Source organism: Homo sapiens, chromosome 1, assembly GCF_000001405.40.
Source record: "Homo sapiens chromosome 1, GRCh38.p14 Primary Assembly".
NCBI lineage: Eukaryota > Metazoa > Chordata > Mammalia > Primates > Hominidae > Homo > Homo sapiens.
Genome location: NC_000001.11, coordinates 8,249,956 through 8,262,022, shown reverse-complemented (window position 1 = coordinate 8,262,022; position 12,067 = coordinate 8,249,956). Strand labels below are relative to the sequence as shown.

General features: G+C 46.9%; 1 long non-coding RNA gene across 1 annotated transcript in view, besides 1 other annotated feature; it reads right to left on the bottom strand.

Moving 5' to 3' along the window:
- The window catches only part of LINC03154 (long intergenic non-protein coding RNA 3154), a 37,079-nt gene extending 34,427 nt beyond the window's left edge, over positions 1 to 2,652 (bottom strand). Inside the window, exon 1 of the long non-coding RNA XR_007065454.1 lies at positions 2,030 to 2,652. This is a non-coding gene — a long non-coding RNA (long intergenic non-protein coding RNA 3154). The remainder of the gene's footprint in view (positions 1 to 2,029) is intronic.
- Positions 2,040 to 2,334: a silencer, noted in NCBI's record as "tiled region #9077; HepG2 Repressive DNase unmatched - State 1:Tss". NCBI's record gives its function as "represses a minimal TATA promoter and a strong SV40 promoter by Sharpr-MPRA in HepG2 cells {active_cell/tissue: HepG2}" and the evidence as "EXISTENCE:reporter gene assay evidence [ECO:0000049][PMID:27701403]".
- Positions 2,653 to 12,067: the final 9,415 nt, after the last annotated feature.

Genomic DNA, 12,067 nt, shown 5'->3' with positions numbered 1-12,067 from the left:
GGATGGCCAGGCGCGGTGGCTCACGCCTGTAATCCCAGCACTTTAAGAGGCCGAGGCAGGTGGACGATGAGGTCAGCAGATGGAGACCATCCTGGCTAACATGGTGAAACCCCGTCTCTACGGAAAATACAAAAAAAATTAGCTGGGTGTGGTGGGGGCACCTGTAGTCCCAGCTACTCGGGAGGCTGAGGCAGGAGAATGGCGTGAACCCGGGAGGCGGAGCTTGCAGTGAGCCAAGATCGCGTCACTGCACTCCAGCCTGGGTGACTGAGCAAGACTCTGTCTCAAAAAAAAAAAAGGAAGAAAGGATGGCAGCCCAGAACAGTGGCTTACACCTGTAATCCCAACATTTTGGGAGGCTGAGGAGGGAGGATCTCTCAAGACTAAAAGTTCAAGACCAACCTGGGCAACATAGTGAGACCCTGTCTCTCAAAAAACAAAAACAAAAACAAACAAACCCTGGCATCCTGGCATGTGCCTGTGGTCCCAGCTACTCGGGAGGCTAAGGTAGGAGGATTGCTTGAGCCCAGGAGGTTAAGGCTACAATGAACTGAGATCATGCCACTGCACTTCAGCCTGTATGACAGAGCAACAAGACCCTGTCCTAAAACAAAGAAGAAGGAAGGAAGGAAGGAAGGAAGGAAGGAAGGAAGGAAGGAAGGAAAGAAAGAGAGAGAGAGAAAAAGAGAAAGCAGATGGCTCAGGGGAGAATACTAATTTCTGAATTCCTGTATGGATATTCTGTTCATTAAATAAATATTTATCAAACACCTACTTGGTCCACGCACATCTGGGTGCTGAAATTCAACCATGGACAAGACAAAACAAAACCTTGTCTTCATGGGATCACTGAATATTAATGTGAATTTGTTTACCAAATTTTGGAAAATTAATTGGAAGGATTATCTCATGAAGCTTGGAAGGATTACATTTAGAACAAATAAAAGAACCCGTGTGCAGCCCTAGGACTAGAGAGGTGCCCAGTGGATATTTGGAGATTTTATATAACAAAGATCAAAGTGTTGCCGGGCACAGTGGCTCACGCCTGTAATCCCAGCACTTTGGGAGGCCAAGGTGGGCGGATCGCCTGAGGTCAGGAGCTCATGCCTGTAATCCCAGCACTTTAGGAGGCCGAGGTGGGCGGATCACTTGAGGTCAGGAGTTCAAGACCAGTCTGGCCAACATGGTGAAACCCTGTCTCTACTAAAAATACAAAAAATTAGCTGGGCATGGTGATGGGCACCTATAATCCCAGCTACTCGGGAGGCTGAGGCAGGAGAATCGCTTGAACCTGGGAGACGGAGGTTGCAGTGAGCCGAGATCGCGCCGTTGCACTCCAGCTTGGGCAACAAGAGCAAAACTCTGTTTCAAAAAAAAAAAAAAGGAAGTGTTGATATTCTTAATATCCACTGTATACATGATATTAAAACTCCAATAGACTCTTTCCCTCCTTCTCACTACTACACGTGACTAGTCTTAATAATAATAAAATAGAAAAAGTGAGCAAAGAACAGCAGGCAGTTCAGAAAGGAGAGACGCAAATGAACAATCAAACTAAATGCAAAACTAAATGCAAATTAAATATATGCAAAACAAAATGCAAATTAAAATGTAACAATGCAGAGTTGCTAGTAAACTTCTAGGATTGGTAGCTCTACAAGTAGAAGAGGCTAAAACAAGAGATTTAAAATCTATTCTAATAAATCCATGCAAAGTACGTAATGATTGACTGGTGAGAACCAAGATACAAGGGATGTGATAACCAACCCTTGAAAACTAGTTTGGGGCCAGGCCTGGAGGCTCACACCTGTAATCTCAGAGCTTCGGGAGGCTGAGGCAGGAGGATCACTGGAGGCCAGTGGTTTGAGACCAGCCTGGGCAACATAGTGAGACACCCTACTGTATCAAAAATGAAAGAAAGGAAAGGAGGTGAGGAGAGGGAGAGAGGGAAGAAGGGAAGGAGGAAGGAAGGAAAGGAAAACTAGCTTGTTGACATAGTTTCCCTGCATGTTGGCCAGTGTCACCTAACCTGAGATTCCTGTTGCAAAGGTCCAGGTTGCAGATGGTTGCAGAGGTATCCATTCCTTGGGACCACTGCAGGGAGGCAGAAAATGCTGAGCTGAATTTTTGGCACTCCGCCGGCAGAGCTTTCTTATGTAACAAGCACCTGAGCTGGTGAGTATGAGACCTTGCGAAATAAAAGCTAAGAGTGGCCAAAATAAATATGTGGCCAGGTTAAAGAGCCAGCTTGGCCAACGTTTCTCTAACAGTCGCAATTTGTAAACACAGAAAAGAGGAATGAAATGAAAGGCCGTGTCTGTGCTACAAATCGCGTCTGTGATTATTGTTCCCCTGTGTCTCTGTAACTTTATTTTCACAATCAAAAGCTTGACAGGACATTCCATAAAGCCCAGTCAGAGCACTTGAAATGCGAACCCAAACAAGCCGAAGTCATGGGGAGAAATGCATCCTCCGTTTTCTTGTGAACGCAGCAGCTGTTTTCTCTTTCCTGTATTTGGATCTTTCTAGCAAACACCTAGAAGTCTCAGCCTCTCCAGAAATCAGGTGTTCCCAGACCAGGTGATCTATTTGTTTAGTATCCTGTGCCCTTATTCCCAGAAGAAAGGGAATGGGACAGAACACTCTGTCAAATAAACAATTGCCCAAGGTCTTGGGCAAGGGAAATTAGGACAGGAAGCAGACAGTGGACTCTTTGCCCCAGGTAACTGGCTGATAAGGTAAACAAGCCATGTACAATGAGTTCCTGTCCTCTGCATGATAAATATTTATGTGCTGAGCCCTGTGTTTGGAAGCACTAAACCATTTCTCAGTCTGAACATTGACCTTTGGATGCAAAACGCAGGGCTAATTTCCTAGGTGATGTAATTAATTTTTGTGGCTCAAAGCTGTACTGGGAACAAGAGAAATTGTTGTTTTCATGCTTGTTTAAAAAGTGATTCAGCAGTTGTGTGCAGCTTTCAGGTAACAGTGTCAACTTGCAATCTGAAACTTTGCTTTAGTCACACCTGGAATTCAATGATTTTGGAAGATTATGGTGTGTGAGTTCATCATAAACAAACACAAATTCTTCTGATCTTAGAAGTGATGAACTCAGTTTTGGGTTTACACATGGCTTTGAATTGTTTCTGAGGATACGGAGGAAATTATTTATTTTATTTTATTTTTTGAGACAGGATCTCCTCTACCGCCCAGGCTGGAGTGAAGTGGCTGATCTTGGCTCCCTGCAACCTCCGCCTCCCGGGCTCCAGGGATCTTCCCACCTCAGCCTCCTGAGTAGCTGGGACTACAGGAGGGTACCACCACCACGCCTGGCTAATTTTTTGTATTTTTAGTAGAGATGGGGTTTCGCCATGTTGCCCAGGCTGGTCTCAAACTCCTGGGCTCCAGCAATCCACTCACCTTGGCCTCCCAAAGTGCTGGGATTACAGGTGTGAGCCACCACGCCCAGCCAAGGACTTTATTTTTAAAATTTTGGTTTAGTATGGCCCCAAATCTCTGTGACCCTAAATGCGTTTCATTTTAGTGTTAATAAAACATGCAGGAAAACTGTTCTTTTACCGTGAGCCAAATTAACCCCACCCAAAACAAAAGTAAAAGGCAAATGACAGGCTGGGCGCGGTGGCTCACGCTTGTAATCCCAGCACTTTGGGAGGCCGAGGTGGGCAGATCATGAGGTCAGGAGATGGAGACCATCCTGGCTAACATGGTGAAACCCCGTCTCTACTAAAAATACAAAAAGTTAGCCGGGTGTGGTGGCCAGCGCCTGTAGTCCCAGCTACTCGGGAGGCTGAGACAGGAGAATGGCGTGAACCTGGGAGGCGGAGCTTGCAGTGAGCCGAGATTGCGCCACCGCACTCCAGCCTGGGCGACAGAGCGAGACTCCATCTCAAGAAAAAAAAAAAGGCAAATGACAAACCAGGGAAAATACATGCCACAAAACAGCAGACCCTCTTTCTAGGTGGCACAAGCTGGAAACCTGAGTCCATCCTTGTCACTTTCCTCTCCCTCATCCCCAGTGTCCAATGCTGTTCACCCCGAAATATCTCAAACCCGCACACTTGCCCCGTCTGCATTTCCTGATTCTCCTCTGCCTTCACCAGCTTTCTATTTCCACAGATGCCTCCAGGCACTAACTCACCAAGACCAATCGCAGGGTCTTCCCCCACAGTCGGGCCCTTCCATGAGTCATTTTTCATTCAATGGCACCCTCTCCAGCTAGCCAGGACCCAGGCTACCTCCTGGGCTCCACCCTCTCCCTCCTCTCCTGCCCCATCCTTTGCCAGGTCTTGTGAACTGTTCTTCCTGAAGACCTTGGATTCGCCCATCCCTGTCACTCTGTGGTCCCTGCCTCCACCCTTTCTCAGGACGTCATCACCTCCTACCTGGGCCACTGAAATAGCACCCCCATGATCTCTGGAATCCACTCTTCTGCCCCCATTCCATTGTCCACAACGAAGCCAGAGGGACTTTTCCCAACCACAAACCTGACGGAATCACCTTCTGGCTGAAAACCACCTGTCACTTCCCTTCACACTGAGGATAAGGTAAAGATCCTACCTGGCCTACAAGGGCCTGCAGGACCTAGCCCTTCAGCCAGCTTCATGATGGTTGCGGAAGTCCAGCCACATGACTGTCTGCCCTTTTCCCTCTTTAATTTACCTCTAAGGATTTATAGACATCTGAGACTAGCTGATTTATTTGCACACTTGTTTATCGTCCATCTCTCCTGTCCCTAAGGGGCAGGGGTCGGGTGTCTTGTTCACTGCTACCGCCCCAGCCCCTCAGAGTAAACCTCACACATCACAGGGTGCTCAATGAATATTTGTGGAGTTAATGAATGGATGAATGAATAAGCCAATTCAGGAGACCACCAGGGTGATGGGTGGTGCACTGATCTAAGAAAAAGTCAGAGCCTGATGCGGTGGCTCACACCTGAAATCCCAGCACTTTGGGAGGCCAAGGCGGGCGGATCATGAGGTCAGGAGTTTGAGACCAACCTGACCAACATGGTGAAACCCCGTATCTACTAAAAATAGAAAAATTAGCTGGGCATGGTGGTGCTTGCAGCTACTAGGGAGGCTGAGGCAGAAGAATCGCTTGAACCCGGGAGGCAGAGGTTGCAGTGAGCCAAGATCTTGCCACTGCACTCCAGCCTAGTTGACAGAGCAAGACTCCGTCTCAAAAAACCAAAAAAAAGAAAATGTCAGAGCGAGGAGCAGAGAAGCCCATGGGCATCAGTCTAGGCCTCAGGTGGCTGTCTATGCACAACTGTACCCACAGTATCTATGAGACAAAATAAAGAATTGCTGGCCAATTAGCTGATGCCTTCTCTTTTGTCTGAAACGTCGTTTCCATGCCTGACCCTACTTCCCTCAACTTCTCATTCTTCACATTTCAGGTCAAACCGCCTGTTTTCATGTCCTTGGACACATCCAGCTCCTTCAGACCTCAGGACCTTTGCACGTGCTCACATCTTTGCCAGGAAGGCTCTTCAACTCCGATTTCACCCCTCCACACCATCTATAGTTATTTGCAACTCATCTTAGCATCTCAGCCTTCTCTGAGCCCACAGCTAGATCAGGTCCCCTTCATTGTACTTTCGTTCTTGCCTTTACGTCACTTATTCCCATCTGTAATGACATATTTGGGTAATTATTTCAATATTGCTGATCAACCTTCCTACCCCACAAGGACAGGGATTATGGCTTTTTCCTCCCTACTTCAGCCAACATTCTACACAGTGCCCAAAGAGGGGCCCAAGGAATATTTGGAGATTTTATGTGACAAAAGAAATGTTGATATTCTCAATATCCTTTATATATGTGATATTAAAACACCAGTAGAAATTTTTTTTTAATTTCAACAGACAAAAGATTGCAAACATTCAGAAAGATTTACAAATAGCTAATCAACCTTATTAGGAACAAAAATGTAAACTAACTATAACAAAATACCTCTTCAATATACTAATTTGTTAAACTTTAAAAAGGTAATAGGAGGCCGGGCACTGTGCCTCATACCTGTAATCCCAGCACTTTGGCAGACTGAGGTGGGAGGCTCCCTTGAGCCCAGGAGGTCAAGGCTGCAATGAGCCTTGATTGTATGACTGCACTCCAGCTTGGGTGACAAAGCAATACAAAAGTCTCAAAAAAAAAAAAAAGTGATGGTAGCATCTACGGATTCAATGCAATCCCTGTAAAAATTCCAACAATGGGCCGGGCGCAGTGGCTCACTCCTGTAATCCCAGCAGTTTGGGAGGCCAAGGTGGGCGGATCACCTGAGGTCAGGAGTTCAAGACCAGCCTGATCAATCTGGAGAAACTCTGTCTCTACTAAAAAAAAAAAAATACAAAATTAGCCGGGTGTGGTGGCACATGCGTGTAATCCCAGCTACTCCGGAGGCTGAGGCAGGAGAATTGCTTGGATCTGGGAGGCGGAGGTTGCAGTGAGCTGAGATTGCACTCCAGCCTGGGCAACAAGAGCGAAACTCCATCTCAAAAAAGAAAGAAAGAGAGAGAGAGAGAGAGGGAGGGAGGGAGGGAGAGAGAGAGAGAGAGAGAGACAGAGAAAGAAAGAAAGAAAGAAAGAAAGAAAGAAAGAAAGAAAGAAAGAAAGAAAGAAAGAAAGAAGATCCCAACAATTTTCTTTACAGAAACAAAAAAATCCATCCTAAAATTCATACAGAATATCAGGGAACCCTGGCCGGGCGAGGTGGCTCACACCTGTAATCCCAGCACTTTGGGAGGCCGAGGCAGGCGGATCACCAGGTCAGGAAATCGAGACCATCCTGGCTAACACGGTGAAACCCCTTCTCTACTAAAAATACAAGAAATTAGCCAGGAGTGGTGGCGGGCGACTGTAGTCCCAGCTACTCGGGAGGCTGAGGCAGGAGAATGGCGTGAACCCGGGAGGCTGAGCTTGCAGTGAGCCGAGATTGTGCCACTGCACTCCAGCCTGGGCAACAGAGCGAGACTCCGTCTCAAAAAAAATATATATATATATATATATCAGGGAACCCTCACAGCAAAATCAGTCTTGAAACAGAAGAATATAGTTGATTTTAAAACTTACTACAAAGCTATAGTAATCGACCGGGTGTGGTGGCTCATGCCTGTAATGTAATCCCAGCACTTTGGGAGGCCAAGATGGGTGGATCACCTGAGATCAGGAGTTGGAGACCAGCCTGGGCAACATGGTGAAGCCCCGTCTCCACTAAAAATACAAAAGTTAGCCAGGCGTGGTGGCATGCACCTGTAATCCCAGCTACACGGGAGGCTGAGGCAGGAGAATCGCTTGAACCTGGGAGGTGGAGGTTGCAGTGAGCCGAGATGGCACCATTCCACTCCAGCCTGGGCAACAAGAGCGAAACTCCATCTCAAAAAAAAAAAAAAAAGAAAAGAAAAAAGAATACTACCAACAGGGTAAAAAGGCAGTCCGTGGGGCTGAAAGTATTTGGCAACCCATAGGGTTGGAAATGGGAGAAAATATTTCCAAATCACATACCTGATAAGGGATTAATGTCTAGAATACATAGAAAACTCTTAATTGAAACTAAGTAAAAAACTCGCAAACAACCCAAATCAAAAATGGACAAAAAGTCTTAAATTGGGAGGCCAAGGTGGGCGGATCACCTCAGGTCAGGAGTTCGAGAAAAGCCTGGCCAACATGGTGAAACCCCATCTCTACTAAAAATACAAAAATTAGCCGGGTGTGGTGATGCACGTCTGTAATCCCACCTACTCGGGAGGCTGAGGCAGGAGAATCGCTTGAACCTGGGAGGTGGTGGTTGCAGTGAGCCAAGATCGCACCATTGCACTCCAGCCTAGGCAACAGAGTGAGACTCCATCTCAAAAAAAAAAAAAAAGGAAGGGAAATCTGACACGTGCTACAACATGGATGAACCTGGAGGATGTTATGCAAAATGAAATAAGCCAGTCACAAAAAGTTAAAATACTGTATGATTCCACTCATGATTAGACTCATATGAGTATGATGTGGCTAGAACAGTCAAATTCATAGAGACAGAAAGTAGGATGATGGTGGCTGCCAGGGGATAGGGGTAGGGAGAATGAGGAGTTAGTGTTTAATGAATACAGAGTTTTAGTTCTGCGAGATATATTTAAAAAAAAAAACAAACAAAAAAACAAAAAAACTCTGCAGTTGGGTAGTGGAGAAGTTGCACAGCAGTATGAGCGTGCTTAATGCCATGGCACTGCACAGTTAAAAATGGCTAAAAAGAGTACATTTTACTTTATGTTAATTTGTTAATTTGAGATGGAGTTTTGCTCTTGTTGCCCAGACTGGAATGTAATGGCGCAATCTCAGCTCACTGCAACCTCCGCCTCCTGGGTTCAGGCGATTCTCCTGCCTCAGCCTCCCGAGCAGTTGAGATTACAAGTGCCCACCACCACTTCCGACTAATTTTGTATTTTGAGTAGAGATGGGGTTTCTCCATGTTGGCCAGGCTGGTCTCGAACTCCCGACCTCAGGTGATCCACCCGCCTCGGCCTCCCAAAGTGCCAGGATTACCACATGAGCCACCGTGCCCAGCATACTTTTTTAAAAAAAGTAATTGATGGCTGGGTCCAGTGGCTCAAGCCTGTAATCCTAGCACTTTGGGAGGCTGAGGTGGGCGGATCACCTGAGGTCGGGAGTTCAAGACCAGCCTGGCCAACATGGAGAAACCCCGTCTCTACTAAAAATACAAACAAAATTAGCTGGGTGTGGTAGCACATGCCTGTAATCCCAGCTACTCTGGAGGCTGAGGAAGGAGAATCGCCTGAACCCGGGAAGCAGAGCTTATGGTGAGCTGAGATTGTTGCATTCCAGCCTGGGCAACAAGAGTGAAACTCCACTTCAAAAAGAAAAAAAGTAATTGATGTGGTTTGGATGTTTGTCTCCTCCAAATCTCATGTTGAAATGCGGCCTCCAATATTGGAGGTGGGGCCTGGGGGGAGCTATTGGATCACAGGGGCGGATCTTTCATGAATGGCGCGGTAATCAGCGAGTTCTCCCTCTGAGTTTACAGGGGAGCTGGTCGTTTAAAAGAGTGTGGCACCTCTCTCCTCTCTCGCTCTCGCCGTGTGATGCATCTACTCCCCCTTTACCTTCCATCATGATTGGAAGCTTTCCTGGGGCTCTCACCAGAAGCAGATGCTGGCCACCATGCTTCCTGTACAGCCTGAGAAACCATGAGTCAATGAAACCTCTTTTCTTTAGAAATTTCCCAACCTCAGGTATTCCTTTACAGCAACGCAAACAGACTAACACAGTAATACAGCTAACACTATGTAATGCTGACTGTTTAAGTGCTTTATTTGCATTCAATGACTGGTCCTCAGAACAGCCGTATGAAATAAGCAATATTATTCTCCCTATTTTTACCTTTGGGGAAACTGAGGCACTGGTTCAGGAGTCAGCAAACTATGGTTCACTGGCAAAATCCGGGATGCCGGCTGTGTTTGCAGATGCAATGTTACTGGAGAACTGCCATGCTCATTCATTACCTGCTGTCCCTGGCTGCTGCTCCCGCTGCCTGCAGACTTGAGTAGTTGCAACAGGGACCTATGGTCCACAAAGCTGAAAATAGACACCATCTGGCCCACAACTGGCTACAGAGTTGTAGTAGCTCAGTGCAAAATGAAAATGCAGGGGCGTTGTTTATAAACTAAAAATGTGGCCGGGCGAGGTGGCTCATGCCTGTAATCCCGGCACTTTGGGAGGCCAAGGTGGGCGGATCACCTGAGGGTGGGTGTTCGAGACCAGTCTGGCCAACATGGTGAAAACTGTCTCTGCTAAAAATACAAAAATTAACCGAGTGTGGTGGCATGCACCTGTAATCCCAGCTACTTGGGAGGCTGAGGCAGGAGAATCACTTGAACCCAGGAGGCAGAGGTTATAGTGACTGCACTCCAGCCTGGGCAATGGAGTGAGACTCTGTCTCAAAAATAAATAAATAAAATTAATTAATTAGTTAAGAATGCTAAAGCAGTGACAGCAGAGCATTAAAGCAAACTCGGGGCCTTCGAAGCCTGGGGCCCTTGTGCGTGCTGGAGATGAGAGCTCGTGAAACCAACTCTAATCTGGACCTTTATAGAAAACACCGGATGATGCCTGTGCTGGAAAATGTAATCACTCACCCAAAGTCACGTGGGGGTTTGTTGCAGAGCTGGGGTTTAGGCCAATGCGGGTGTCCAGAACCTGTGCTCTTGCCCTCTCCCCGTCTCTTAGGGGCTCATACACAATGTTGGGGAGGTGCCCAAATACAAGTGTCCTCAAAGACTGCTGGTGTTGACACAAAGCGCTACACTCTTTCTGGTGTGCAATTTGGAAAAATTTATTAGAGATTTAAAACATACTCATGACTCAGGCTTAGAAAAATATTTAATACGTGGAAATGCTCACAACACATTTAAGTGAAAGAGGCAACGATTAGTATGCTCTTAAATTCCGCAAAATGATTTATTTGAATGTATAGATAGAGGCATATAGATATACATGGAAAAAAACCAGAACGATGGTCTGAGGTATTAGCAGTAGCTATTTATGGGAGGTGGCACTGTGATTTATTTTCATTTTCTTCTTCGTACTTTTAGATAATTTACTCTCGCTCTCCAAATGGGCACCGGGGGTTTCAGCCATCAAGGCATCCGATAAGGACAGGTTAGCTGTGCCAAGGATGCATAAGAGAATCCTAGCCACTTGGCTTTCCTCTTAGATATCAGAGCTGGCCTTTTATATCTAAATATTATGAATTAGGCTATGAATGTTACAAACTAAGTTATTTAAAGCTATTTTTCAATCAGGTTCAGTGGCTCAGACTGGTAATCCCAGCAATTTTGGAGGCCAAGATGGGAGGATTGCTTGAGCCCAGGAGTTCAAGACCAGCCTGGGCAACATAGTGAAACCCATCTCTACAAAATAAATTAGCTGGCCATGGTGGCACCTGCCCCCTGTAGTCCCAGCTACTCAGGAGGCTGAAATGGGAGGATCACTTGAGTCCATGAAGTAGAGGCTGCAGTGAACCATAACAGTGCCACTGCACTCTAGCCTGGGTGTCAGAGTGAGACCCTGTCTCAAAAACAGAAAAAAGAGGACAGGCACCTGCGGAGAAGGCAGGCGGGTAGATGGTGGTGCCTCCCAGGAATGTCTGTTTCACCTCCTGCACCCCAGGTGGGGCCCCTGCCCTGCATCGCAAGCTTTAGGAGGGCTTGCTCTGGCCCTCCACTGGCCGTGCCCCTCCCCACGGGACAAGGAGCCCAGGCCCCACTTCTAGTTTTATTTTTTTTATCTGAGATCCCAGAATTCCCCACCCAGATGGTCTCAAGCCATCTTTCTGAGGGTGGACGGGCTGGCTTGTGCCCTTCCAGGCCAGAGGGGTGGTCTAGAGGCAGCCAGCTGTAGGTAGAGGCAGGAGGAGAGCTCAAAGTGCAGGTTGGGCGGTAGGGGCAGAGCCAAAGATGGGGAGCAGAGAGCGGGGCCAGGGGCCAAAGGCGCCATTTATACTTCTTGGCCCCACCAAGTTCAAGGTAGGTGTGGGTACCAAGGCCCTTGGTCCCCTAAAGGTTTGCTGAAAAATCACTGGCATGAGCCAGGTTGATTATGGAAGAAAAGACACGCAAGTTTATTTAACACAATACACGGAGGCTTCAGAATGAAGACCCAACTTCCTAATAAGCTACAGAAGCTTCTGTACCATCTTGAGATTACAGAAAGAACGAACAGGGGATTGGATCCTGGTAGAACAGGTTATGGGAGCCCAGCTGGGAGAAAAGGAATTCTATTGAGGGGCAATAAATGATTGCAGGAAGAACGATCTGATCTGATCGGGGAACAGAAATTCACTTGTAGATAGTTCTCTTTGGAATTTAAATGATCCTTGGAGAAAGTCACTATCTTGAAAAAGGGTCTGTTTGTGTGTGGTTACATTTTTGGTCTTACAGGAAGGGGAGGAAACCCTTGTTCTCCTTGCTGGGGCCGGATCTCAGGCAGATAAGAGAGCTGAGGTTTCTTTGGGAGAGATGGTGGGATGGTGGTCAGAGAGACCT